Below are 27,794 nucleotides of genomic sequence, written 5' to 3'. Positions count from 1 at the left end.
CCACCTGGGGGTTGCGGGGTGGGCAGGGTTCTGAACGAGGCAGGAATAGGACTGGGCAGCAGCTGGCCTCTTCCAGACCTCAGGGGCCCTGCTCCCTGAAGCCAGGACATCTGAGAACCTTCTGGAAAATCACTTTCACTCTCATGAACTGCAAAACTCAGCAAATGACTTCTGTGAGGCTCCTGTGTCCTGGGTGCTAGCGATGCAGTGGTGAACTTGCCTCCCTGCCCAGGACCTGGGCATTGCAGTGACTTCATTTGCACCATGGAGGACTCAGAAGTCCTGCCACCAGCTGGGGAGAAGGCTCCCTCCCATACCCGCCCTCAGAGGCTGCGTGGGGGAAGAGAAAAGTGCTTAGGTTTGGGAACCTGACCTGGACCCAGACATGGGCTCTTCATCCATCTGCTACTGTGTGACCTCAGGCAGGGTGTCCAACCTCTCTGAGCTTCCTCCGTGGTAATCCCATCCCATGGCCACCCCGTGGACCATTGCTGGGAGAATTAAAGATGATGGCATGTGAAAACCCTCTAGGGCACTGCCCAAAACACAGTAGGTGCTCAACAAACAGCAGCTGGGGACCTCCCCTGCTAGGTACACTGCCATGCCCTCATCTGGGGACACCCCTGCCACCCTAACCGCAGACAGACTGGCCAGCCAGGGATTTGAAATTCCAGAGATGTCTCCCCTTTCCCCGGCACCCTCTCCAACCAGCAGCACCTCCTGGAAGCAGCAACTCAGGGCTGTTGCTCACTGGCTCAAATGTGGCTTTAAAAATATATATCTTCCTTTGTGATTTAAAAAAAAAATTTCATTTAATTAAAAATGTTGACATTGTGCCTGGATACCCCGCCAGAGAAAGTGGCTATAAATTAAACATTAGATCTTTAATGGTCCATAAAGAAAGATTCGTTTCTGGTTATGTATATACTGGATATAAATAGATACAGAAGAGGTTTTTTTCATCTGGGCGGGGAGGCAGACTTTTTTTTAACCTCAGCTGGATCATCTTGTTAAGTGAATATAATTAAAAGTTAAATTAATTCGAGTCCTCCCCGGCTTTGTGTCCGGATGTGTGTGTGGTGAAGGGCAGGTATTTGAGGTGGGGGGAAAGATGAGCCCCGTCTGGCTTTGGCAGCTCTTGAGGGAGCACCAGATGCATTGTGCTAGGAGGAGTGGTGGTTACCTCCCTCTGCGGTGTCTGTCGGCCGCCAGGATCTACTTGGGCTGAAAGAAGAAGGGGGACCTGAAACAGCCTTGTCAAGCGTTGCTTGTTCCTTTTTCTTGCCCCTTCCCACACAGCACCACCCCGCAGGGTCAGGGCCAGAGGCTCCATCTGGGAAGCAGAGGCTGCTCAGAGAGGGACTTGACTTTGCTGAGTGTAGACGGCAAAGAAGGCTGCGGGTTTAGGGGGCTGGGGCTTGCCGGGCGGGATAGAGGGGGAAGGGTGGGGTTGGCAGATTTGAGATTTTTCAGCTCCCTGCCCTCCTGTCTCATTGGAGAGGCAGAAAGCCTGGGTCCACGCCTCACTCTCTGTGGACATGAAGACCCAAAAAGGAAGGGAAAGGAGAGGGGCATTGAGAGGGGCAGTTGGCTGGGAGTGGTCAACACAGCCAGAGCGATGTGACGCTGAGAACTTTCCAAGAGGACCGCATTAGGTGCCGCCGTCGCAAACAAACGTAGCGGCTTGAAACGAGCTGGATGGGTGGCCTTGCAGTTCTGGAAGGCAGAAGTCAGGAAGGAGCCTCACTGGTTTACCATCGAGGAACCATCAGAGCTCATTTCCGAGGGAGAGTCCACTGCCTCCCTGTTCCAGCCTCTAGAGGCCCCCGAACTCCTTGGGTCAAACTGACAGTCAATGATGGATTGGAGGATGGGGGAGGAAGAGAGGGAGGGTCAGAGTGGACCCCAGCTGACTTGCTCACTTGGACGGGTGATAGATCCATTCACTGAAATAGGGACCACTGAGCTAGGACCAGGTTTCTGGGAGAAGACCCTGAGCCTCAGCCATGTGGGACAGAGCAGTCTGGGAGACATCAAGGGAAGCAAAAGGTTGGACCCACAGGGAACTCGGCTAGAGTGGGCATTGCTGGCATCAGGGTGCGGGTTGAAGCCAGACCTCTGAAGTTGCCTGGGGAGAAAGTAAAGGGTGGAAGGAGAAGGGGCCCTGCAATGCCCAGTTACCCACTAGGCAAAGGCAGGAGGAAGGGCCAGAGCCATGGGGAGACCAGGAGGGTGTGGGCCAGCCCAGGACAAAGTGTGCTTCCAGAGGCATGAGGCGTGGTCAGCAGACTCATTCCCTGCTGAGAGATGGAGAAAGACAAGGCTGGCTCAGGCCACCTGGTCTCCAGGTGAGTAAGAGGCTGCTGGGTAGAGTGAGAGGGCTCAGTCTTTTCAGGCAGGGAGGGGAAGGATCCAGGAGTGTGAGCTCGGCCACTGGGGAGCTGTAAGACGCTCTCCTCAGCCTGAGGGCAGACCCCTGGTGGGGGAGCCGAGGGAGAAGCAGGTGGGCAGGTGGGTTGGTGCCAGGTGTGGGCATCCTCAGCCCCAGGCCAAGAGGTCTTGAACCTTCCCTGAGCCTGTGGGCAGCTGTGAAGTGTACAATGGGGCGGAACCTGCCATGCAGCCGACTCGTCTGGCCACTGAGTTGAGGCTGGATGTGGGAGCTGTAGGGTTTCTGAGCCAGGATCAAGTTCAGAGGCCGCGCCATGTTCTAGGAAGAGAAGGGGCCTGAGCCATGTGGATTTGTGGGTAGCGGAGGTCACACAGGTACAGAAGGTGTTAAGGAAGAAGAATGCATAGGACCTAGAGGCAACTTGGGTGGGCACTGGAGACAAGGGAGGGGGAAGGGTTGTGCCCAGAGATCTGAGTTTGGGATGCTGGATCAATTCCAATGAGTTTAGGGGTGCTGGATCAATTTCAGTGAGTTTGGGGGTGCTGAATCAACTTTAGTGCCATTGACTATACTGGGAGGGGCAGCGGTAGAGGAGGTTTCGGGAGAGGCCCTCGTCTGTTCTCTGTCCCACACGTTGAGTGACGTTGGCACCAGTAACCAGGTAGTAAGATCTAGGAGGTGCCAGAGATCTGGATTGTAAACCTACATGCAGGAGTTCCTGGTGGTGGGTGGCGGATAGAGCCAGGGCACAGACAGCATCCAGGGTGTGTGGCTAGGACCAGAAGGGGACAAGGGAGAAGGGGAGCTGCTGAGGAGGCTGAGCTCACATCAGAAACAGGGATAGGCCGGGCGCGGCAGCTCACACCTGTAATTCCAGCACTTTGGGAGGCAGAGGCAGGTGGGTCACCTGAGGTTGGGACACCAGCCGGGCCAACATGGTGAAACCCCGTCTCTACTAAAAATACAAAAATTAGCCGGGCTTGGTGGCACGTACATGTAATCCCAGCTACTCAGGAGGCTGAGGTAGGAGAATTGCTTGGGAGAACCCGGGAGGTGGAGGTTGCAGTGAGCCACTGTACTGCAGAGCGAAACTCAGGGAAGAAAGAAAGAAAGAGAGAAAGAGAGAGAGAGAAAGGGAGGGAGGGAGGGAAAGGAAGGGAGGGAGGGAGGGAAAGAAAAAGAAAAGGAAAGAAAGGAAGAAAGAAACGGGGACAGCCAAGCACAGGGGTGGCTGCCGAAGGGAGTCTTGCAGAGGATACTGTCCTGTGGCACCTCAACGCTGCTTTATTTTTATAAATCAGAGGTCCTCAAAGCCTGGGAGGGCATATGAAGCTCAAGCAAGCGTGTTTATCTGTTGAGGCAAATGTTCATTGAGTATCGGCCAAGCAGTGAGGCTGGGTCTCCCTGCATGGTGCTCCTGCCCACGCCGAGTGATCGGCTCATTTAAGCGCCCTCATCAGGAACTCCTCCTACAACAAAAATTATTTTTATTATTCTTTAAAGTCTGACCACGAGCCCCGGGGCCTTGGGAATGTCCATGTAAACACATTCGCAATTTATCGTGTTCCGTCTCAGCAAAGACCTTCTGCATGAACAGAACCCAGGGAAGACAGCAACTATCTATTATTAAACAAACCCAACTGTCGATACAGGCACAATCTGCAAATTAGCTGCTTGTCAATGTGGGTTAGTTGCAGATGGACGTTCACCGGGACATGGGTGTGATAGAAGTCCATGTTCACATTTCACTTCTGAGGCCGTATCCAGTAGGAGACTGAAATTGATCATGTGAGTAAAGATGTATTAATCCCGAAAGGCAATTGCTGAGCAGTAATAGTCTTTCTGACGCGGCTGTGGCAGTGGAAACTCTGAATCCGGTTGAGCCAGCAGCCTCTGAGCTGCACCAAGCGCTAAGGAACTCCTTACCACCAGGGAAGCATTACGGTTTCATCCTTAAAACTGGCTCCCTCTCGCAAGAGCCAAAGCGATGCCAGGGATGCCGGCAGGTGCAGCTAGGATGGTGAGGCTGGTGGGGATCTAAGGATACCTGGAATTTGTTTTAATGGGGTAAAAAAGACACACAGATACAGAAATGACTGGCATGGCAGAAGAAGCCTATCTAGGGACAGATCCCTAGAGACAGGGAACTCGGCATCAGGGACACACAGGGAGGTACCAGGTTTGGTCGGGAGGCAGAGGGAATGGGGGTTCACAGGGGCAGGGGTCTTGACTGTGGTTTCCCTAGGAAGGAACGGGCGAGGCAGGGGAAGTGGTTTTGGGGCTGGCTGGTTTGGATCATTTCAGTGAGCTCTGGGCTATGGGGCTGGATCTGATTGTCTGTACCTGGCTCTGGGGTGATTAGGACAGGTAAACAGTCTCCGGGAGCATGGGACCCCGATAGAGGCAGGGGCTTGGGGTGTGGGATCTGGTTGGCCGGTTTGCAGGTGAAAAAGCACACCCCAAGCCCGTTGTTTGCTGCCTCTCGGAATCTGCTACTTTGGGAGGAGCCGTCTCCCCAGGGCCAGCAAGGCTTCAGATGTCAAAGCATCAGAATACAGGGAATAAAAGACGGTGACTGCAGCAGCATTGGAGCCGAGCGGGCCGAGACACAGGGAACAGAGGGAGGTGGTTATGAGTGGACTCTGACTTTGTTCACAGCTCAGCATCTCACTAGCCAGAATCCGCAGCCCAAGCACAAACGGTGGCTTTGAAGACCTGAGCGCGCTTGGCTTTCGACGCCCCAGCAAGCAGCAGTTCCTGAGCCGAGTCCCTAGCTTCAGGGTGGTTCCAGAGATGGTTTTGCAGGGCTTGGAAGGGTTAGTGGCCTCAGGAGTCCTTTGTCAGCTGCAGGAAGCGAGGTGGCGTTGCCGACCCAGGGGAGGCAGCCTCGCTCTGGGTTCTGGCCCCGCTGGCGGAAGACCGCACCGCATCCCAGCCGATGGAGGCAGGTCCCAGCTCAGAATGGGGGCTTGGCGAGTGGCAGGCGGGGGCCCTCCCACAGAAGAGGCAGTGGATGTGGGCCTCCAGCTGCCCGCTGAGCTGCAGAGCTCTGAGGCCTCCAAGAAGGAGAATCTCTGCGGAGCTGGAGCTTGCTGGTAAGTGAGGCTGGATGCTGAGTGGCTCTGCGTGGCAACACCCAACACTCCCTGCCAGCCTCAGTCCCCAAAGAGAGTGAGTCAACGGGGACCCCCATTGCCTCAGCTCCTTACCTGTGCCTAGGGATACAAGCACCCCCCGATAGGGTTGTGGGGTGAGAATCCTCTGGAGGAGATGTGCAAAGCACTCCGGCCGTCACTGTGGGGGACACCAAGCACAGGCCCACAGTTGCCCATGGGAGCTACTCTTGGTTTTGTTTCAAAAATCGTTACCTCCCAGGGAAACTAGCTTAGGTTGGGGAGTGCAGTTTAACACGTGGAAATGACGTTGCATTCATTCAGGTTTGAGCCTCCTCCCGGGTAGAAGGCATCTTGGTGCAAGTGAATCCCACCAAAGTCTCTAAGACCCCCCACCCTTCCAGGGACAGACACCTGGCTTTTAATCACTTCAAAGCCACCAGCCCTTGACGGGCGCCTGTAGTCCCAGCTACTCGGGAGGCTGAGGCAGGAGAATGGCGTGAACCCGGGAGTGGAGGTTGCAGTGAGCCAAGATTGCGCCACTGCACTCCAGCCCAGGGGACAGAGCAAGACTCCATCTCCAAAAAAAAAACACACACACACAAAACAAAGCCACCAGCCTTTTCATCACTTGGGTCCAAGAGGTGCAGAAGTCTTCTTGGGGTTTGTTCCAAACGTCCCTCCCTCTCCTGTGCCCCGGAGGTAGAGGAGAGCCCCGCCCCTTCGCCCTGTTTGGGTGAAACCCACAGCCCAGGGTCTCCCCACCGGAGCTCACTGCAGCCCTGAGCAGCTCCTGCTGTGACTGCCTCTGGTGGCTCTGTTTCCTCCCATTGTGGGCCAGGCACTGTGCTAAGGGTGGCTCTGTTTCCTCCCATTGTGGGCCAGGCACTGTGCTAAGGGTTGGGCTGCCTTTCATCCCTATACCTAGAGGTGGGTCCTACTGTCACCCCCGCTTTTACAGGGGAGTAAACTGAGGCACTTCGATGTTGAGTAACCCATGGGAGGTTTACCAACCATCCCAGCTTGACTCAGAACATGGATCAACCGCCAGATCTAAGTTCCAAGCACAGCCAGGGTCCTGCCTTGCCTTCTCTTCTCTGGAGCTGGAAGAGTGGAGATGCCCCACCCTGTGATTTTTCCCCAGATGCAAAACTCTGCATTGCTTTTCTCTAATTCTACAAATGCTTATCTAGTTGTTGCCTTAAATTAAAACAACATGGGGGCCAGATGCGGTGGCTCACTCCTGTAATCCTAGCATTTTGGGAGGCCAAGGTGGGCGGATCACTTGAGGTCAAAAGTTCAAGACCAGCCTGGGCAACATGGTGAAACCCTGTCTCTACCCAAAATACAAAAATTACCCAGGCTTGGTGTGCACACCTGTAATCCCAGCTACTCGGGAGGCTGAGACAGGAAAACCATTTGAACCTGGGAGGCAGCGGTTACTGTGAGCCAAGATGGTGCCACTGCACTCCAGCCTGGGTGACAGAGTGAGACTCTGTCTCAAAAAAAAAAAAAAAAAAAATACGATTATGTTCTCTGTGTGTGTCTACCTGTGGCATTACCGAAGCCAGCCAGGGTGGGGAGATGAGCTGGCTGTATCTCCCACCTTTCATCCTAGGCATTTTTAGGACCTCCGGCTGGCTCCCGTGGGCTCCACAGACCAGCCATTCTAGCAGCCAGCCTCCAGCACACTTGGCCTATTAGCTACTTTTATTTTGTAAGTAGGTTGATGGAGACGGATTTCTGAAAATCTTAGAGGAATGAATAGGTTGGTTTCTTAGGGGATTTGCTCAGGAAATGAGATTTTGCCCATCTCCCAAAGGAGAAAGGACATGTCTAAATTGTTGATAATGAAACGCGCTCATCTAAGAAGCCGGCGTTCTCCAGCTGCCTGCGTGCTGAGTGGTGCCGTCTGCCCTGTGTATTAACTCGGCTCCTTTTCCTGTCTCCGCCGTTCTCCCCCCACCCCCATCCCATTGGCACTGCTCACAGCCACACATGGGCAGGACCAAACCCAGCATCCCCTGCAACACTTCTGCTGGGAGGCCGCGTCCTCGGTCCAGCCACATCCCTCTCTGCAGAGAGGTGGTGCCTCTTCAGGTCTCAAAGAGTTTCCATCTCTCCAAGGGATGTCGGATGGGTCTTGAGATCTCACCAGCATAGGAGAGACATCCCGGCTGTGCCTGTGAACATAGGCAGGCTGGCTCTCCACACCCGGGAGCAGGGGGACAGGTGCAGCAGACAGCAGCCAAGTGGGGACTGGACGGCCATCTGGACACCATCATTGCTGAACTCTGTCTCAGCTGAGTGTTGGAGGGAATATGGCGTGCAGCGCCAGCTCCGGAGAGAGCAGCTCAGACAGGGACTCCGCTTCCCTTAGGTTCACAGTAGAAGGAAGAACAGCCCACTCAGCGTAATCAGACACCAGCAAGAGGAGGTGACCAAGAAATCTGGAAGCCCAAAGGTGTCCAAGGCCCACAGTCCACGAGCAGTCGGGGGCGGGACTGTTCCTCTCATGCAGTGCTGTGCCCTGTGCCTGGCTGCAAGGCAGGGAGGGAAGGTGGCTCTCCCGGAGGCACACAGCCCCCTGTGGCATCAGGGAGGACTTGGAGAATGACCTGAGGCAGGGTCGTTTCAGCTTGTGTCCATGTCATTCTATAGATGGTTTTCCATTGCCATAGCCACATAAAATCAGACGGAAGCACGTCAGCAGATAAAAGTCAAGGTCAGACAATGGAAGACAGAGAGGGCAGGAAAATGAGGCAGTGGGGCTTTTTGATACAACCAGTAAGGTTGAGCAACAATTTTTTTTTTTTCTGACATGCTCGTGGCTGAAGCAAAATGGGAAATGGGGCCAATGACGTGATTCTCATTGTCTTAAAAAGTGGATTAAAATCCAAAATGTTCTGCTGGGCGTGGTGGCTCATGTCTGGAATCCCAGCACTTTGGAGGTCAAGGTGAGTGGATAGCCTGAGCTCAGAAGTTCGAGACCAGCCTGGGCAACATGGTGAAACCCCGTCTCTACTAAAATACAAAAATTAGCCAGTCATGGTGGTGTACATCTGTAATCCCAGCTACACGGGAGGCTGAAGCAGAAGAATCGCTTGAACCCAGGAGGTGGAGGTTGCAATGGGCTGAGATCACGCCACTGCACTCCAGCCTGGGCGACAGAGTTAGGTGTCTCAAAAAAAAAAAAAAAAAAATCCAAATGTTCACCTACAGACGAATGGATAAACAAAATGTGGTGTATCCATATAATGGAATATCACTCAGCCTCACAAAGGACTGAGGGGGTGAGCGGTGGGAATGGGTGAACAGTGTGAGGTGCTTCATGCCACTGAACTGTGCACCTAAAGATGGTTAAAATGGTACACTTTATATTATGGGCATTTTACCACAAAAAATTCAAACCAAAAAAGTGGCTTCCAAATAAACATCAAAGGAAAAACCATTTTCCTGGGGTCCTTTGGTCTGAACGGTCTTTCTCGGGGTCCAATTGTGTGAGGCCACCGTGGCATGTGGCCTCTAGGTCCCTCTAGTGTGCCCCATTAGGAGTTCCAAACCAGCCTGGACAACAAGGTGAAACCCAAAAATGAGCCGGGTGTGGTGGCGTACGCCTGTAGACCCAGCTACTTGGGAGGCTGAGGTGGGAGGATCACTTGAGCCTGAGAGGCGGAGTTTGCAGATAGCCAAGATGGCCCTGCACTCCAGCCTGAGCAACAGAGTGAGACTCTGTCTCAAAAAGAAAAGAAAAACAAAAAGAGAAAAGGAAAGGGAGAGGAGGGAAGGGGAGGGGAGGGAGAAAGAAAGAAGGAAGGAGGGAAAGAAAAGAAAAGGGAGGAAGGAAGGGAGGGAGGGAAAGGGAAGGAGAATGAAAGAAGGAAAAGAAAAAAGGAAGGAATGGGAGAAAGAAGAGAGGAAGGAAGGAAAGGAGGGAGGGATGGAGGGAGGGAAGGAAAGGGAAGGGAAAGGAAAGGAAGGAGAATGAAAGAAGGAAGGAAAAGAAGGAAGGAAAGGGATAAAGGAGAGGGGGAAGGAAGGAAGGAAGGAGAATAAAGGAAGGAAGGAAGAAAAGGAAGGAAGGAAGGAAAGGAATGGGAGAAGAAAGAGGAAAGAAAAGGGAAGGGAAGGGAAGGCTCTAGGAGGGGCACCTGTGACAGTGTTTGTGTGGTCAGGAATAACATCATGGAGAAGTCGTGGAAGAGCAATGACCGTGAAGAAAGGGCCACCATGCTCTGGGAACCAGGCCCAGCAAGCCCAGAGTGAGTAGGGTGCAGGCAGGGGGTGAAAACCAGGCCCACTGTGCGCCCGCAGCCCTCGCTGGCACTGCCCTGAAGGTGGGGAGGGTGGGTGGGTTACTCTCCTGTGGCTGCCGTAACAGATGACCACAAACTGGGAGGCTTCATACAACAGAAGTTTATTCTCTTACTGCTCTGGAGATGGAGCCTTGAGGTCTGGAATGCAGGTGTCTCAGGGCCCTGCTGTCTGAAAGTTCTGGGCAGGTTCCTTCCTTGTCCTTTCAAGTCTCCTGGCAGTTTTCAGCGCGCCCTAGCCTGTGGCTACATCACTCCAATCTCCGCCTCCATCCTCACACACCCTCACCCAATGCGTGTCTCTCTGTGTCCTCTCCTCAACTGATGAGGACCCCGGGCATTGGATGTAGGGCCCAGTCTGTTCCACTATGACCTCATCTTCACTAATTACATTTGCAAAGAACCTGTTTCCAAATAAGGTTCCGGATGGACATGGACTCTGGGGACACCATTCTGCCCTGTGCGGTGGTATCTCCTTCATGTGTGGAAGGCCGAGGGTGTCTATGGATTGTTGAGATGACCCAGTGCTGGGCTCTGGCCCCTGAAACTTGCCTGTCTGGAGATGCTCCAGGGCAGAGATGCCACACTGGGCCTCCCACCTGCCCCCTACCTCTGGGACCGCAGGCCATTTCTGCATCCTCAGTGGGGTCTCTGTCTCCTCCACTGCCATCTGCTTGGTGGCATTGCGCCTTCTTGTCTTGGCTCTGCCCTTTGGAAGCTGTGTCAACCTTGGCAAAATTCCTTCTCTGGGCTTCTGTTTCTGAGCCTGGCTGACCCAGGGACAGGTGGAGGATACACTATGGTGTCTGTGGCACAGCTTGGGTGTTGTCAAGGGTGCTCAGGGGTGGGCCAGTGAGTTCAGTTCAGTCCACAGGTGTGCGCTAAGTTCCGCTCATGCAAAGCCAGCACCTTCCCCACACCCTCCCACCTGAGGGCAGCCAGGTGCCTGCAGACCTCATCCCACCAGACAGAACCTCTAATATATCACCCAAGCAATTGACTGTGGTCGACTCCACAGTCCCAAATGACACCCCAGGGCAAAGGCACATGGGCTTTGCAAAGCCCAGCACAGCTGGAAGAGTCAACTGGTCACAGAAGGTTTGGGCTGATGTTGGGCGTTGAGGCTGCACAAGTGCTGGGGTGGGAGGCAGGTTGGAGTTAGACCCGGCAATGAGCAAAAGGAGTACAGTGGGTTTTCTCCTGGGGCCACGTTGGTTTGCCCCCTGCTCACTCTGACACTCCAGGGTTTATCCGGGAGTGCTTGGCCTGAGCAGAATAATCAGCTCTAAGCACAAGGTTGTGGTCAGGTGGGTCTCGCGCAAACTCAGCTGCAACCGCTACCAGCTGTGGCATTTAGGGCAATCTGCTTCACTTCCCCAAGCTTCAGATTTGATGTTTGGAAACTGGAAGTGATCATAGTACCTGCCCCCTAGGGTGGTTGTAAAGCTGAAATGACATCATCAATGGCATAACCCCAGAAAAACACAGTCCCCAGCAGGTAGCCTGGCATACATTCAGCAAGTGCTAGGCATGCATGCTGCTGTCACGGGGCCCACAGCAGTGTCCACGCAGGCAGAGGAGGAGTAAGGCCCCACTGGAGCACAGCTGAAGGCCTAGAGTGCCTAGAAGGACCTTGAAGGTGGGACTCCAGGCAGGTTGCTGTGGAGCCCTGCCCGGGCTTCCTGGGAGAGGAGGCAAAACTGCTCTGAGCACGGCGTATAACCCCTAAGCCCTGCCCTGCTGCCCTGTGGAGGCCCAGTAAGGGGGTGGCCCTTCCCACAGACCTAAGTATGGGCAGTGTGCTCAGAACCCAAAGCCACTCCAGGGACTACTGTGATGGCCAGAACCTGCCAGAACTCCCCGGTCTCCCTAATGGTGACAGTTTATGGCTCAGAGCCATAAGCCAGATTCCCTCCCCTGCCCTCTCCTGCCCTATGCTCCCTTCCCCTTCCCTCCCCTCTCCTCTTCTCTCCCCTCCTTTCCTCTCTAAAGGCAAATTTCTATTCAGAAGAAGGAGGAAAACATCACATTAAATAGATGTGGCTCTCCTGCTCTGATCACCGTCATCACAAGCCAGGTTTAAGCCACCCACAGTTGATTTTTTATAATTTATAAAAAATTTTATAATTTTATAGTGATTTATAAAATTGCACCCTTCACCTCCAGCTCCCCTTAGGGAAAGAGCACAAACAGATCGTTTCATAAAATCTGAAGTAACACAAGAGAGTGGTGCACTGGGAGTTTCTCAAAGCTGCCTCGAGGACCCTCCATACGGCCTGCCCCCCACCCCGGGGCTCCTCAGGTAGCACCCCCTCCACCAGCAGCAGCAGCACGCTGGGAACCAGAGCTCCCAAGGTCTTTCCTGGCACCAGTGCCTCTGCTGCAGGAACTCGTACAATGCCAAATAAATCTACTCTGACCATAAACTAGGTCCAAGCACCGTCACTGCACATTTAGGAAAACATGGAAGGAAAGAAAGCAAAGAATCGAGTGAATACGTGGAAGCTGTGTGTGCTGCACTAAATGTCGGTCACTCCCCAAAATTCCTATATGGAAGCCCTAACTCCCTAAGGGATGATATCTGGAGATGGGACCTTTGGGAGGTGATTAGGGTTAGATGAGGTCATGAGGGAGGGTCCCTTGGGCAATGGGATTAGTGCCCTTACAAGAACAGACACCAGGGAGACTGCTTTCACGCTGTCTCCTTGCCATGTGAAGACACAGTGAGAAGGCGGCTGTCTGCAAGCCAGGACAAGAGCCCTCACCAGCGCCTGACCACACTGCTCCCTAATCACAGACTTCCAGCCTCCAGAACTGGGAGAAATACATTTCTGTTGTTTAAGCCGGCAGTCTATGGTATTATCATGGCAGCCAAAGTGACAAAAACCATCTCCCTGCTTCAGACAGTCAAGCTTCCTCCCGCACAAACAGTTCCACGTGGTCACAGTGGAACCTTCCTCAGCACAGAGTCACCTTCCTCAGCACCTTCCACGTCAACATCAGTTAGTTGTGCTCCCCTGAACCCTGGCACCAGGACAGGCCCCATTTTTCCTTGCCCCTCTTCCCAGCCATCATCTGTGGCTGATTCAGTTGTCCTTGCCAATGGAGTTAAGAAGAGATGTCCCAAAATGATGGAATCTCCACATATCACCTCCCCAGAAGTGCAGGATGGTGTTACGCAGAGGGCTCAAACTTAAAGCGAAACAGGCCGGATGCCATGGTTCACACCTGTAGCCCCAGCACATTGGAAGGCCGAAGTGGGAGGCTCACTTGAGGCCAGGAGTTCAAGACCAACCTGGGCAACATACTGAGACCTCCCATCTCTACTAAAAAAAAAAAAAAAGATTAAATAGATAGACAGATAGATAGCTAGATAGATAACCAGGCATGTTGGTGCTTGCCTGTAGTCTCAGCTACTTGGGAGGCTAAGGTGGGAAGGTGACTTAAACTCAGGAGATGGAGGCTGCAGTGAGCTATGATTGTGCCACTGCACTCCAGCCTGAGCAACAGAGCAAGATCCTGCTCAAAAAAAATTTTTTTTTAATTGAAAAATTTAGGCCAGGCGCAGTGGCTCATGCCTGTAATCCCAGCACTTTGGGAGGCCGAGGTGGGTGGATCACGAGGTCAGGAGATCAAGACTATCCTGGCTAACATGGTGAAACCCCATCTCTACTAAAAATACAAAAAAATTAGCTGGGTGTGGTGGCGGGTGCCTGTAGTCCCAGCTACTTGGAAGGCTGAGGCAGGAGAATGGCGTGAATCTGGGAGGCGGAGCTTGCAGTGAGCTGAGATTGTGCCACTGCACTCCAGCCTGGGTGACAGAGCAAGACTGCATCTCAAAAAAATAAAAAGAACAATTTTAAAAATAAAGTGAAACAGACCAGGAGAAACATCAGAGTATCCTTTCTCTCATCTTGGTATCAAGGGTAGGAATGTGTCCCTAATGGGGCTGACGTGAGGTCAATGATGTATATTCAGTGCCTGACACAGTAGATGCTCAATAAATAAGAGACATGATGGCCACTGCTAAGAAATTGACTTTATCAAAGAGCTGGGGACACATCCATGCAGAAATCCACGTTCCGCTTGCTCTGTGCCTTTCTAGACCTTCCCCATAATCAAGTAACTTGCATCTATCTTGGGAGAGAAGGGATGTATGTGTGACAGCTAAGCTGAAGGGCCACCAATGAGTGGGAGTGGTCTGATTTTGACATGAGCGGTTTTTTTCTGGCCAGTTGTCTTGCATGATCCACTAACGATGAGTTTTACTAAGGAACACATGTGCTTTTCATTTCAAGGGCCACACAAGCAAGCCCCAGTTTAATTTCTGAAGAATGAAATGTTTTATGGACAGAAGACAGCTAGGGTTAAAGGCTTTGGGAGGTGGGAGACTTCCGTCATTTGGATGGAGTTCAATAAAGACAGAATCACATGTCCTTGAGGAGAATTGCAGGGAAAAGCCCACAAGGAACTCGTCTTTGGAGGGACTAGTGCGAAGGTGGGAAGTTGAACTGTGAGCCAGGTGGAATCAAGGGGCCTAAAGGAGAGACAGGACAGAAAGGGAGAACATGAGAAAAGGCCTCTCCAGGTGGATAAATGCACATCCGTGGCTGGGATTCCCCAAGAGCAAATATTATTCTCAAAGTGTCCAATCCCATGCTTCAAAACAGGGGTCCAGCTCTGACCTCTGGAGTCAAACCCTTACCTGTTACAATTTCATTCCCTTGTTCATTCATTCAGCAAACATCCACTGCCTCTGGTCCATGGTGGCCCCACACCAGTGTCTGGGGACACCAGGACCTCTAAGATATGGCCTCTGCCCATGGGGGCATCACAGTCTAGTGGGAAAGCAGACCAGGGGCTCCACATTGGGCACTCACCCCAACCACAGCCCTCCCTGCTCCCCCAGGAAGAGTGTGGAGTTGTGCAGTGCCCCGCCGTCTCCTGGGGGCAGTGGGCAGTGTGGAGTGGACTCTGGGAGTGTGGAGACAATTTGAGCCTGGCAGGCGGGTCTTGCTCTGTCTGGGCTTTGCTGAAGGGTGTGACTGCATGTGCACTTGGGGAAGTCGGCACCACTGTGCTGATCCCTGTGTTCCTCCATGAACCTGATTCATGGAGGCAAAAATTACCATAATTGATTATCCCGCTGAGTGGCTGAGAGCAGTGTTTGCTAACAGTGAGGCTGAGAATCAGCTCCGTGTTTCATGACCCTGGGAGCACGCCCGTGGGATGTCATCCAAAAGGCCCATGGAATGGGAATGAACCTGGGGGGCCTCTCTCCTTCCCCCGCCCCCAGGATTGGGTAGGTGGGGCAAGGACCAGAGACATAGAAAATGCTGGGAGTGCAGAAGAGGAGGGGGAGCCGACATCTCAGAAACACGAAGCGAGGCACCATCCCAGGGATGGGCAACCAGGCCACCACTGGAGTTGGTTGCTCCCAAATTGTGGGCTGCTCTGCACAGAGACCACCTTCCTTTCCATGCACAAGAGCCTCCGGGGAGGTGCAGGGAATTTCGTGACCCTGGAGGTTCTGTGAAACGATGGAGGACGAAGCTGGGCTCGGGGAGCTCCTGGCCCGAAGAACCAGGAAAACAGATTGGACCCTGTGGTTGAGGCATCAGGCTCGACCGGCTCTTTGACCATCCCTCTAGTTCTGGAGCTTTCAAAAATGGGGACTCTTTGGTGATTGAAATGTGGCTCAGCCCCTGGGCCTCCAGATGCCACTGCAACCCCGGGTTCACACAGTGCAGGTAGGACATATTTCACCTTGACTAAATAAAGACACTCGTACGTGTGTGACACATTTAAGAGAACTCAAGAAATGCCAGCAATCTCTCAGGAGAGAAGGGTTGGCAGAGGCAGAGAAGCTGGGTTGGATGGGGTGGGGTGAACAGGCTACTCTGCCAGCTCCCATCTGGGCTGATGTGGCCTAAAGACTGGGAATTCCAGAGCCGAAAGGAGTTACTGTGCTGGGAGGACTTCTAAGGGCTTGGGCATAGAGCCTGGGCCAGTAGAGGAGAAGGGACAGGGGACACGGAGGTGTTCGGGAAGAGAGGTGAAGCCCTGAATCTTTGGCTTAGTCCTGCTTCACCTTCTCAGCCCATGGGCCCGAGCCTGCCTCCAGCAGAGCCACAGACGTACCCTTCCAAGGCTCTGGACCTGGCTTCAGATCCAAATGCCTGGCTGTGTGTTTGTTCAGTGGGGCTGGATTCAATTGAATCAAATTGTATTGAATTGGAAGAAGAACTCACTTCAAGAAAAGAAATCACCAATAAGAAAATCCAGCTGGGTGTGGTGGCTCACACCTGTAATCCCAGCACTCTGGGAGGCCGAGGCAGGTGGATCACCTGAGGTCAGGTGTTCAAGACCAGCCTGACCAACATGGTGAAACCCCATCTCTACCAAAAATACAAAAATTAGCCAGGTGTGGTGGCACATGCCTGTAATCCCAGCTACTTCGGAGGCTGAGGCAGGAGAATCGCTTGAACCTGAGAGGCAGAGGTTGCAGGGAGCTGAGATTGCACCATTGCACTCCAGCCTGGGCAACAGAGCGAGAGTCTGTCTCAAAAATAGAAAAAAATCCCCCAAATTAACGAAGGCAGCAGTTGATGCAAGCCGCTCAGATGACACATTTCCTTTCGAAGTGACTCTCACTGGCAGTGCCTTCCAATCACACCTGCCCTTCTCAGCGTCATTTTGTGAGCTGTGTGTGGAGATGGCTCCACGGGCCAGAAGTTACCTTTGCCATTTTACTGGGGAGGAGAACAGGGGCTCCACAGGGCCACCTTGGAAATGGCCAGCCCAGTGCCCAGTTCAAGTTCAGCTGCTCCTTGGCCCATAGCCCTCCCTGATGCGGCTGGGAGGGGCCCGCCTATGAAGTACCCAATACTGCCACTGTGATCTGCACAAACTCCAGCAGGGAAGGCAGGCCCTGTGCATTTTGGTGTTCTGTGGCCACGTTCATTCTCGCCTCCCACAGGGCGGGGTACTTCTTTCCACCTGTGGGTGAGACAGGCAGATGGGGTAACCTGCTCTGGGGGACGGGCCAGCTGACTCAGTTACTGTGGCCACAGTCGCTTCACCAGCTGGGGCCTTGGTTTCTTTATCTGAAGAATGGGAAGAGTAAGAAGTGTACCTGCCTGCTAGAGCTGTTGGGAGGGCTGAATGAAGCAATGTACAGGCGGTGCCTGGCTCATAAACCATGCAAACTAAACGACCGCAGTAACCTTTTTACAGTGATGTGGATGAAGACGGTGGTGGTGATTTTTCTAGATCTGAAGAAAGAGGCCCAGTCTGACCGTCTTTCAATTCCAGAAGCTTTTCACTTGCTTTTATTTTTTGCACTAAGTTTTAAAAAATACGCACACATACACATATGCACAGGAGGCTGGGGGCAGGGAGTGGCATCTTAACAGGTATGGATATTCTTTTTGGAGCAACGAAAAGGTTCAGGCATCAGAGAGCAGCAGTGATTGACAGCAGTGTGAATGCACTCAATACCACTGAATTGTACATTTGAAAATGGTTAAAATTGTAAATTGTATATTATGTATATTTTACCACAATTAAAAAATGTGCAAGTCATGTACACAGAAAATTATGAAACATTACTAAAATAAAGGAAGGAAATCTAAGTTTGTTTAAAGCACACTATACACACACCCCTTTGTTTCTGAACTCCTCAATGACCTACTAAGAAAAGGAAGGTCTCCAGGCACTCGTGTGGAGTCCCAGGCCCCAGTGAGCTAGCTTTGTGACTTAGGCAGGAGTGGATACCCTGGCCCCGGGCCCTGGATTATAAAGTGAGTGAGTGGTGGTCCTTGCCAGTCTGTCCGTATCACTGAGCTGTTCCTGCTGCTGGTAGGTGCACCTGATTCACAATAACATACAACGATTGCCTCTATAATTATGTGTTTGGTGGGATTTAGAATTTGTTAAATAACTTTTCTTTAATAACATAAAATGAATGTGCAGGGCAAGGTGGGTGGATTGCCCGAGCTCAGGAGGTTGAGACCACCCTGGGCAACATGGCGAGACCCCCGTCTCTACTAAAAATACAAAAAATTAGCTGGGCGGGGTGGCACACACCTGTACTCCCAGCTACTAGGGCGGCTGAGGCACAAGAATCGCTCGAACCCAGGAGGCGGAGGTTGCAGTGAGCCAAGATCGCACCATTGCATTCCAGACAGAGCGAGACTCCATCTCCAAAAACAAATAAATAAATAAAATGAATGTGCATGCCATGACCACACTCAAAGTGACCCCCGCCCTACACCTGGAGGAGGAAGCAAATCCCCACGGCATGGCAGAGGAAACCCAGTGTGAAACTAAACGTCACCATCAACAAGCCACAAGGCCTGCGTTTGTGGACAACCTCAAACCAGGCTGGGGAGTGCTTGGAGTTTGAGGTGGGGGAAAAAAAGGAACATCCAGAGTCGCAGAGAAAATGAGTCTGAAACCTCTGGGTGGCCGGTCCACCGTGCCCTGTTTTGCTTTATCTCTGCCTGTTATCTAACCGCCGCCTCCCAGCCATGCTTGAGATGCAGACGGCAGCCAGAGGTTAACCCAGGCAGGTTTCCTTGGACTCCCAGGGAGATGATGCTTCCACCTCCAGACTTCCCTAGTCGATGAGCAAATAGCATCGCCAGCAACCAGATGCATGATGACAACATTGATTGTGATTCTCTCTCCTTTCTCTCTTTTTCTTTTCTTAGAGAGCCCAGAGTGCCTCGGGGAAAATTGGCTGAATAAAAGGTATAAAGACTTTCTCTATTTTTCCTGAATAGTTTTTGACAGATATGAGCATGTTGAACATCTTGGGAGCTGCTGATAATGAAAGCCAGGAGTTTCTGGGGTTTCCCAGCCACTGGAGGGAGGAAGAGTTTGGGGGCTGTGGAGGGAAGGCTTGGCGCCGTTTAGCACCTCTGTGTCGTGTTCTCTCTTGTCCCCCATGGATGAGCCCAAAATGTGCTGGGAAAGGCAGGACTGGGAGCCGGAGGGGCTGAAAGGGAAATGGATAAATGGGGTAAGGATGGAGGACGATTGTTTTTAGGCAATTCTGGCTGGCCTGAGAAGCAATGTCACTGCCTTCCTGATCCTTTCCCTCCCCCAACCCCAAGGTCCCCCACCCCAGGTGCTCCGCGCATGGCCACCCATTCCTCAGGCAGCCCCAGCTTGCTGGTCCAGGGTGGTCCAACTCATCTCCATGGCCTGGTCTCCTCGGGGAAGGGGCTTCGGATACCAGCTCAGTTCCCAGTGTTGACCCTCGCTGGGGGACTGGCTACTACTGCCTGAGCCCATTGGTCCATTGCTCTGTACCTCCAACCCCCATTACCCACCTGTGGCTGACCCCCTCCACAGATTCACTTGCAGAGTTTACTTTGGGGAGATTATTATACAAGTATGATGCTTCTGGACCTTCAATGGGGTTGTGTCCTGATAAACCCATCATAAGGTGAAAATATTGTAAGTCAAAAATAAATTTAATGGACCGGGCTTGGTGGCTCATGCTTGTAATCTCAACATTTTGGGAGGCCAAGGTGGGCAGATCACCTGAGGTCAGGAGTTCAAGACCAGCCTGGCCAACATGGCGAAACCCTATCTCTACTAAAAAATACAAAAATTAGCCGGGCATGGTGGCGGGTGCCTGTAGTCCCAGCTACTGGTAGGCCGAGGCAGGAGAATCACTTGAACCCGGGAGGCGGAGGTTGCATGAGCTGAGATCACACCACTGCACTCCAGCCTGGTCAACAGAGCAAGACTCCATCTCAAAAAAAAAAAAAAAAAAAAAAAAAAAAAGCACTTAATGCCCCCAATAAACCCAACAAACATAAAGTTGAAAAATTCAAAGTCAATCGTAAGTCAAACCTTCGTAAGTTGGAGATCATCTGTAATGTATATTTAGTGTGAACAAAATTAGAAAATGCAGCCATCGGCCCTCAGGTGGCCTCTCTTCGCTAGGTCCTGGGTTTTGGGTGGTGTGTGCACAAGGCCAGCGCTGCGTTTTTCAAAAATCAGGACCGGAAACTAGATCCGTCAGCGTATGAAGTCTTCTTCAGCCAAAACTAGAAAAGTTGGGCACTCTTTTTTGTACCGCGTTTGCCCTAAGCCCGCCCTTGGCTCAGAAGTGGGCACTGACCAGATGGCCTGGAGCTAGACCTGACATTAGAACTAGACCTGGGCTAGACCTGAGCCGGGTGCTTCCGTCCTAGAAGCAGGTCACCTCGGAGCCACTCAGGGCTGCGGGCAGAGGCAGCTCGGGCTCTGCTGCCGGCTCTCCGGCTTTCTAGCAGGAAGAGGACAAAGAGACAGAGCCCAGGGGGTCCCCTTCACATGGCCTCAGGCTTCCCACAGTGGGCCGTGTGTAACAGGGTCCCCCGTACCGAGTGGCTGCCTGTGTGTGTCAGGGTTAGATGCAGTTTTCCGTGGGAGTAGACAGGAAGGCCGCCGGGTGTTGGCCTCACAGGCGCCCGCAAGTGTTCACCACGAGGAGGGCAGCAGCCGTCACAGCCGCCTCCTGAGATGCCACCGCTGTAAACTGAATCTATTTTACAGGGAAGCATCGGAAGGAGCCCCCAGGTGAGTCACTTGTAGAATAAAGAATTCATTTGCCGGGCCGGGCGCGGTGGCTCACGCCTGTAATCCCAGCACTTTGGGAGGCCAAGGCGGGCGTATCACCTGAGGTCAGGAGTTCAAGACCAGCCTGGCCAATGTAGTGAAACCCCGTCTCTACTAAAAATACAAAAATTAGCCGGGCATGGTGACAGGCACCTATAATCCCAGCTACATGGGAGGCTGAGGCACGAGAATCACTTGAACCCGGGAGGCAGAGGTTGCAGTGAGCCGAGATTGCACCACTTACTCCAGCCTGGGCAACAGAGCAAAACTCCGTCTAAAAAAAAAAAAAGGAATCCATTTGCACTCTATGTAAGAATGCAGTCATTTGCCTGGTCCCGTAAACTTGGATTTTTGCACGTTGGTTTTTTAAATAGTTTTATTGAAGTACATTGGGGGTATGATAAACATCACAGAGAGTATGCAATTTGATAAGCTTTGATATATATGTATACCCATGACACCATCACCACAATCAAGATAATGGATGTATTCATCACCCCCAACCATTACATTGTGCCTCTTTGTAATCTCTTCCTCACACCCCACCCAATCCCCTCTTCCAAGGCAAGCACTGACTCTGCTTCTTGTCGCTGTAGAATATGTATATTTTCTGGAGTTTTATATAAATAGAATCGTAGCATCTGTGGTCATTTTTTGCTTGGCTTCTTTCACTCCTCATAGTTATTCAGAGGTTCCTCTGTGATGTTGGACATAGATATACTTTTCTCCTTGTTCTGGCCAAGTAGTATTCCACGCTGGGATTGAGCTACAAAGCGCTGACTCATTCATTCCTTGAAGGACATTTGGGCTGTTTCCAGTCTGGGGCTGTTACAAATAAAGCTGCTGTGAATATGTGTGTGCAAGTCTGTGCATGGACATATTCTTTGTTTTCTCTTGGGTGAAATGGCTGGATCTCAAGGTAAGTATATTTTAACGCCCTAAATAAGTGCCAAACGGTTTTCCAAAGTGGTTGCACGACTTTACATTCCCACCAGTCGTGGGTGAGAATTGCAGTTCTTCAGCCTCCGCAACCCTTGGTGTTGTCAGTCTTCATAACTTTAGCCATTTGACTAGGTATGTAGCGGTAGCTCACTGGGGTTTTAATCTATATTTCCCTAGTGACTAATGATGTTGAGAATCTATTCGTATGGTTATTTGGCATTTATTATGTCTTCTTTGCTAAAAAGTAAAGAGATTTTTTTTCGCCTATGCTTTCTTCTAGATCTTCTATAGTTTCAGGTTTTACATTTAGTTCCACGATTTATCTCAAATTAGCTTTTGTGCATGGGGCAAGCTATAGATTGAGGTTTATTTTTCTCCATATGGATGTCCAATGATTTCATTATTACTTATTAAAAAGATCATCCTTTCCCCCATTGAATTGTCCCTGCAGTCTTATCAAAAATCAGTTGTCATGTGTATGTGAGTCTATGTCTGGGTTTGATATTCTGTTTCTTGGATCTGTTGGCCTGTCTTGATGCCAGTCCTACCACAGCTATTACAGTGATTGTTATGGCTTCCTAGTAAGTCTTGAAACCAGGTAATCTTCCTGTTCTTTGTCCTTCTTTTTCAAAGTTATATTGGCTCTTCTAGGCCCCTTACATTTCTATATGAATTTTAGAATTAGTGTGTAAATTTCTAAGAAAAAAAAATGCCTGCTGGGATTTTGATCGGGATTGAATTGAATCTATAAGTCAGTTTGAGGGATTGATATGCCCATCTCACCTCGAATTGTAATCCCCATGTGTCAAAGGCAGGGCCAGGTGGAGGTAATTGGACCATGGGGGTGGTTTCCTCCATGCTGTTCTCGTGATAATGGGTGAGTCTCACGAGATCTGATGGTTTTGTAAGCGTCTGGTATTTCCCTGCTTGCGCTCATTCTGTCTCCTGCCGCCCTGTGAAGAGGTGTCTTCCGCCCTGATTGTAAGTTTCTTGAGGCCTCCCCGGCCATGTGGAACTGTGAGTCAACTAAACCTCTTTCCTTTATAAATTACTCAGTCTTGGGTATTTCTTCATAGCAGCATGAGAATGGACTAATACAGCGATCAGTGACATCTTAACAATACTGGGCCTTCTGACTCATAAACAAGGTATTTCTCTCCATTTATTTAGAATTTCTTTAATTTCATCAATGGTTTATGGTTTTCTGTGTATGGATATTGAACATCTTTTCTTAGATTTATGCCAATGTCATTCATATTTTAATGCTTCTTAAAATGGTATTTTTCTTTCAATTTCTGATTGATTGTTGCTAGCGTATAGAAATAAAATAGATTTTTTGTACATTGATTTTGTGTCCTGCAGCCTTGCTAAATCTATTTACTAGTTCTAGTAGATTTTGTGTCAATTCCGTCAGATTTTCTATATAAATGATTATGTTAACAAAGGCAGTTTTCTTCTACAATAAATACAGCCCTGATATGCCCAGGGCTGTATTTATCCTAGGTGTGATTGTTCTTGCTACTAAGGCAGGGCTCTGCATGCTCTACCCAGTGCCCCATGAACAGTAAAAAGTTCCTGTTCCAATCTGACTAGTGAGGACTGAGCTACTCTGGCCCTGTGAGGGTGCCCAGTGCTGTGTCCTTCATCCCTCCAGGGGGTTCTCGCCTCAACCTTGGGTGGTTTTCTCCAAAGCTTGTGCTGATCAGTACTCAGCTGAGTACTCAGTGGGACCCTCTTAGTATCTGTAGAGCTCTTTCTCTGTCCAGCTGTCTTCTCCCCATTGCTCTGTCTTATAACTCCAGCCACCTTGGCTCCCCACCTCTCAGCTCTGTCTCCTCAACTCAGGGAGTACACCAGGCTTGACCTGGGGTCACTGCACCATGGCCTGAAAACTTCCTCAAGACAGTCAGCTGGGACGACTGTGCAGCTCCTCTATGACCAGCACTGGGGGATCACTGCCCTTCACTGTATCTCGTCCAGTGTCTTGAAAACTAGTCTTCAGCTTGTTGTTATTGTTCTCGGAGGCAGGCACATCAGTCCCCATTTCTCCATCTTGACCAGAAGCAGAACTGTTTTCTTCTTTACACCGGATCTGTCTCTGCAGTAACTGCCCGGCTGCTGGAACAAACCCAGGCACATACACAGGCTGGGCCTGGCCCTTGTCCCCAGTCCCCTGCAGGGTGGAAGGAGACGAGCTACAGGGCTGTCAGAAGCACTCGTGAGCCTGGGACACACAGTCCTAGTGTAGAGACAGGCACCTTTGCTTCCCATGCCTTGAGAACAGCCTCCTCTCCTCAATGATGAGGGCTCTGCAGGAGCCGGAACTTAGCTCTGGAAAGGCTTAGCAAGACTGCTTCACAGCGTTTCTTCTCAGGAACATTTTGATTGTAAAGAATAAGGAGAGCCGGGTGCCGTGGCTCACCCCTGTAATCCCAGCACTTTGGGAGGCCGAGGCGGGCGGATCACGAGGTCAGCAGATCGAGACCAGCCTGGCCAACATGGTGAAACCCCATCTCTACTAAAAATACAAAAAATTAGCCGGGTATGGTGGCGGGTGACTGTAGTCCCAGCTACTCTGGAGGCTGAAGCAGGAGAATCGCTTGAACCCAGGAGGCAGAGGTAGCAGTGAGCCAAGATCGTACCACTGCACTCCAGCCTGGGTGACAAAGCAAGACTCCATCTCAAAAAAATAAATAAATAAATATGGAGAGAAAGTGAGAGAAAAACAATGCCTCCAAGCCTCTCAAAGACTGGGTGGTGAGGAACATGAGAAAACTGGGGAGAAGGGAACCTAGAGGCCGACGGCAACCCAACCAGCCTCATCATCACTGCGTGTCACTGTGCCTCTGGGCGGCACCCCCCTTGCCCCCAGTGAGAATAGCTGAGGAGGACCCATGAGAAGCTGAGCCTGTTTGGTCTTCCAAATCATGGTCCCTGCACCTGCCTCAGCTGAGTCGGACATACCCAATCCTTTATCTGGGCACAGCATCTCCAGCTGATTAGGAGCTTGGACACAGGTCATCACAAGTGAAACCTGCCGTCCCATGTCATCCGTACAACAGGCCTGTTCAAAAGGCAGGAATGGTGTCCCTATTCTACAGATGAGGAAACTGAGGCTTAGGATGGGTCGATTATTCACCCAGGCCCACGTTGGAAGTGGCCAAGGCAAGACCACAGTCCTGGTTGTTCAGGCTACTTTTCACACTGAGAATTTCCCTGGAGAAGTCAAGCCTCCCTGTAGGAGACTGTGGATTTCACGGGTTTGGATTTCTGAGCCCATTCCCATCCCCACCTCCTCATGCCACCCCAAAGGAGCTCTCTGACCAGTGGGAGATGCAGAGGACTCCACCCTTCCTGGCCCACTTGAGCTCTCCTGTCTTTTTTTTTTTTTTTTTTTTTTTTGAGATGGAGTCTTGCTCTGTCACCCAGGTTGGAGTGTAGTGGCACCATCTCAGCTCACTGTAACCTCTGCCTCCCAGGTTCAAGCAATTATCCTGCTTCAGCCTCTTGAGTAGCTGGGATTGCAGATGTGCACCACCACACTTGGCTAATTTTTTTGTATTTTTAGTAGAGATGGTGTTTCACCATGTTGGTCAGGCTGGTGTCAAACTCCTGACCTCAAGTGATCTGCCCTCCTCGGCCTCCCAAAGTGCTGGGATTACAGATGTGAGCCACCACGCCCAGCCCTGTCCCTTTTTTTTTTTTTTTTTTTTTTTTTTTTTTTTTTTTTGACAGAGTCTCATTCACACTGTCACCCAGGCTGGAGTGCGATGGCACAGTCTCGGCTCACTGCAACCTCTGCCTACCGTGCTCAAGCCATTCTCCTGCCTCAGCCTCCCAAGTAGCTGGGATTACAGGCGTATGCCACCACGCCTGGCTACTTTTTTTGTATTTTTAGTAGAGATGGGATTTCACCATATTGGCCAGCTGGTCTTGAACTCCTGACCTCAAGTGATCCGCCCATCTCGGCCTCCCAAAGTGCTGGGATTACAGGCATGAGCCACTGCGCCCGGCCCTCTCCTGTCCTTTGAGAGAACATTTCCAATATCAGAGTTGCCAGCTGCCTAGCTTCATGGAACTGCAAGGCTCCTGCCTCACCAGAGTGTTTTGTAATGAGTCAGGTGGCAGGAGCGCTTGGTATGCGCACACGTGTTTGGACTAGCGCATCAGTTAGGCTACTGTGATGGGGGAAATAAAGAGCAATGCCCCAGAATGTTGACCACAAAGGGTTAACCCAAACTCACGGCTATTTCTGACTCTGAGAAGGCCAAAGCTGCTTTGCTCCACGTCAGGGATGCAGCCTGGGCACTGCTTGTTGGCAAATCAGCTCCCAAACGCTCAAGTTCTGCATCACGGAACCTGAAGAGGGTCCCTGGTGCCTCCCTTGGCTTTCTGGATGTATCCAGTTGGGTGGTTTTGTGCTACCCATGAAAGAAGCAGGACATTAAACATTTGAGATGGGATCGGAGGACAATGGAAAGAAATCTGTGAGTGTGTGTGTGTTTGTGTGGAAGTATGAAAACCCCAAGTCTGTGTTTTCCCCAGAGTATTAATTACAGCTGGAGAGGAGGCTTGTCCGGGCGTGTTCCGCTTGGGCAGAGTAATTTCTCCCTGGTTTTCAGGGAGCGGGAGGCGTCACGGTGCAGAGAGCAGGACACACACCTCTCTCTCAGGCTTCATGGCCACCCCGCCCGCTCCGGAGCGGACAGCTTTGCCAAGGCACAGGCCGGAGGGAACACGGAGAGCCCACGGATAGCGCCAGGGAGGAGAGGCGAGATAGTGAGGTCTTGACACAATCCCACTTAAGACAGAACAGGTGACGAGAGAGACCTGTAAGCAGCTTAGAAGGAGGAGCAGGCCAGGCTCCGTCCTACGGAGGAAGGGCAGGGAAGACATGCGTCCCTGGCCAGCCTGGCTGCCCACACCTGGGTCCTTCTGACCCTGCAGGCCTTACATTGACGCTGACCGCAGGGCCCCTTGTCTCTCCAGAGGATTCGTAGGGGGAGGTCCACAAAGAAGGTGGGTTTTATCGCTGTTGGTGGCTAAAAAGCTGCAGTACCTATCTGCTCCCCACTAAGCAAAGTGGAGGTCCATGCAATGTGATGGCTACAATTCAGGACCTCGCTGGCCTTGGCATTACCAGCTCAGAAGGAAAAACCAACACAGAGGCCCCGAGCCTACCTTCCCCTGCCCCTGGATTTCTCCCACCCTCACCTGGACACTGAGGCCACCTGCCTGCATCCCTCAGGCTGGTCAGGGTCTTCCTGGGCACTTTGCTTTTTGCCTCTTGGCCATCACATGTGCTCCAGTTATAAGCCATGGAAGAGTGAGTAACCGCCGCCAGTCAGCCTCCCCACGCCGCCATCCCCCAGCCAGCCGGGAATGAGCGGGGCCCTGTGCTGAATCCTTCTCTATGGCAGAGTCCCCCACTGGCATCAGAGACCTGCTCATCTCCTGTGCAGTGAGCACAAATGACATGCTTGAGATGCAACAAGGAGCCAAACAAAGCCCCTGCCCTGGACGAGCTGATGCTCAAACAATACTCACCCCCTCTTAGGGGTGGGCTGGATTTCTGACATCCATGGGGACACCTCCATCTGGTCCATGGGATCAAAGGACACCAGCCCAGGAGGAAAAGGGGAAACCACTCCGAAACTGAGGCCCAACCTGCCTCTGTGGATGTTCTCTGGCTCGCTGCTTCGCTGGACCTCTCAGGACTTACTTTGTCCCTCCTCTGCTGGAATTCGCCTCTGGGGACTCAACACACAAAACTGGTGGTCTCGGCCAAAACCAGCAAGAAGTCTCCATGGCTCCTTTGCTGAGTGTCCAGCCTGCCAACTGGCTGGCGCTTGCAGATAAGTTAGAGGGAGAGGGAAGGAGGGAGGGAAGAGACACGGGAGTGAGAAAGGGGAGCAAGGCGGGGTTGGAGGCACCGCAGCCTTCTGCTGCTTCTGCAGATGCTCCGCGCAGGCCAGAGTGAGAGGTCCCTGCCCAGAATGCTTAGTGGGTTCCCCCAGGCCTGGCAGGTCCCAGAGCCTCCCGAGCAACTTGTCAGAGCTGGAGTCTGTCCTTATCCAGTCTCACGCTGGTGTAGAAATTTGCCAGCCTCACGCTCCCTCTTTCCTAACTCACATACCTGCAAATGCCCATGTCCCTTGATTAATGTGATATTTTTTATCCAATACCTGTGTGCCAGACCCTCCACCTTGGTGACTGCTAAACCCCCATAGTCACCCCAGGAAGGTAGATGTTGCCATCCCCACTCTACCAAAAAGGGAACAGAGGCTCAGAAAGGTTAAGTAATCTGCTCAAAGCTGCCCAGCAGGACAGTGGCTGGTCTGGAATTTGAGCTCAGGTCTGAGTTTTGCCACATCCCAGGCTCCTCCTGCTCCACAGGGTGATGCCCAGGACACACTG

At 51.8% G+C, this 27,794-nt stretch overlaps 1 protein-coding gene across 58 annotated transcripts in view, besides 1 other annotated feature; it reads left to right on the top strand.

The window, feature by feature from the left end:
• The window catches only part of RBFOX3 (RNA binding fox-1 homolog 3), a 576,227-nt gene that overhangs the window by 411,234 nt on the left and 137,199 nt on the right, over positions 1–27,794 (top strand). For 52 of the 58 annotated variants that reach the window (NM_001385807.1, NM_001385838.1, NM_001385842.1 and 49 more), the window contains one exon: positions 18,533–18,572. The exons of the other annotated variants lie outside the window; for them this stretch is intronic. The gene's annotated coding sequence lies outside the window, so the exon portion shown is untranslated. The remainder of the gene's footprint in view (positions 1–18,532; positions 18,573–27,794) is intronic. 58 annotated transcript variants of the gene reach the window in all.
• Positions 25,944–26,715: an enhancer, noted in NCBI's record as "H3K27ac-H3K4me1 hESC enhancer chr17:77223705-77224476 (GRCh37/hg19 assembly coordinates)". NCBI's record gives its function as "activates a minimal SCP1, AML or CMV promoter by ChIP-STARR-seq in primed H9 embryonic stem cells {active_cell/tissue: H9 hESC(primed)}" and the evidence as "EXISTENCE:reporter gene assay evidence [ECO:0000049][PMID:30033119]".

This window comes from Homo sapiens, chromosome 17, assembly GCF_000001405.40.
Source record: "Homo sapiens chromosome 17, GRCh38.p14 Primary Assembly".
Taxonomy (NCBI): domain Eukaryota; kingdom Metazoa; phylum Chordata; class Mammalia; order Primates; family Hominidae; genus Homo; species Homo sapiens.
The sequence above is the reverse complement of the archived record's forward strand: the minus strand, read 5'-3'. Positions and strand labels throughout refer to the sequence as shown.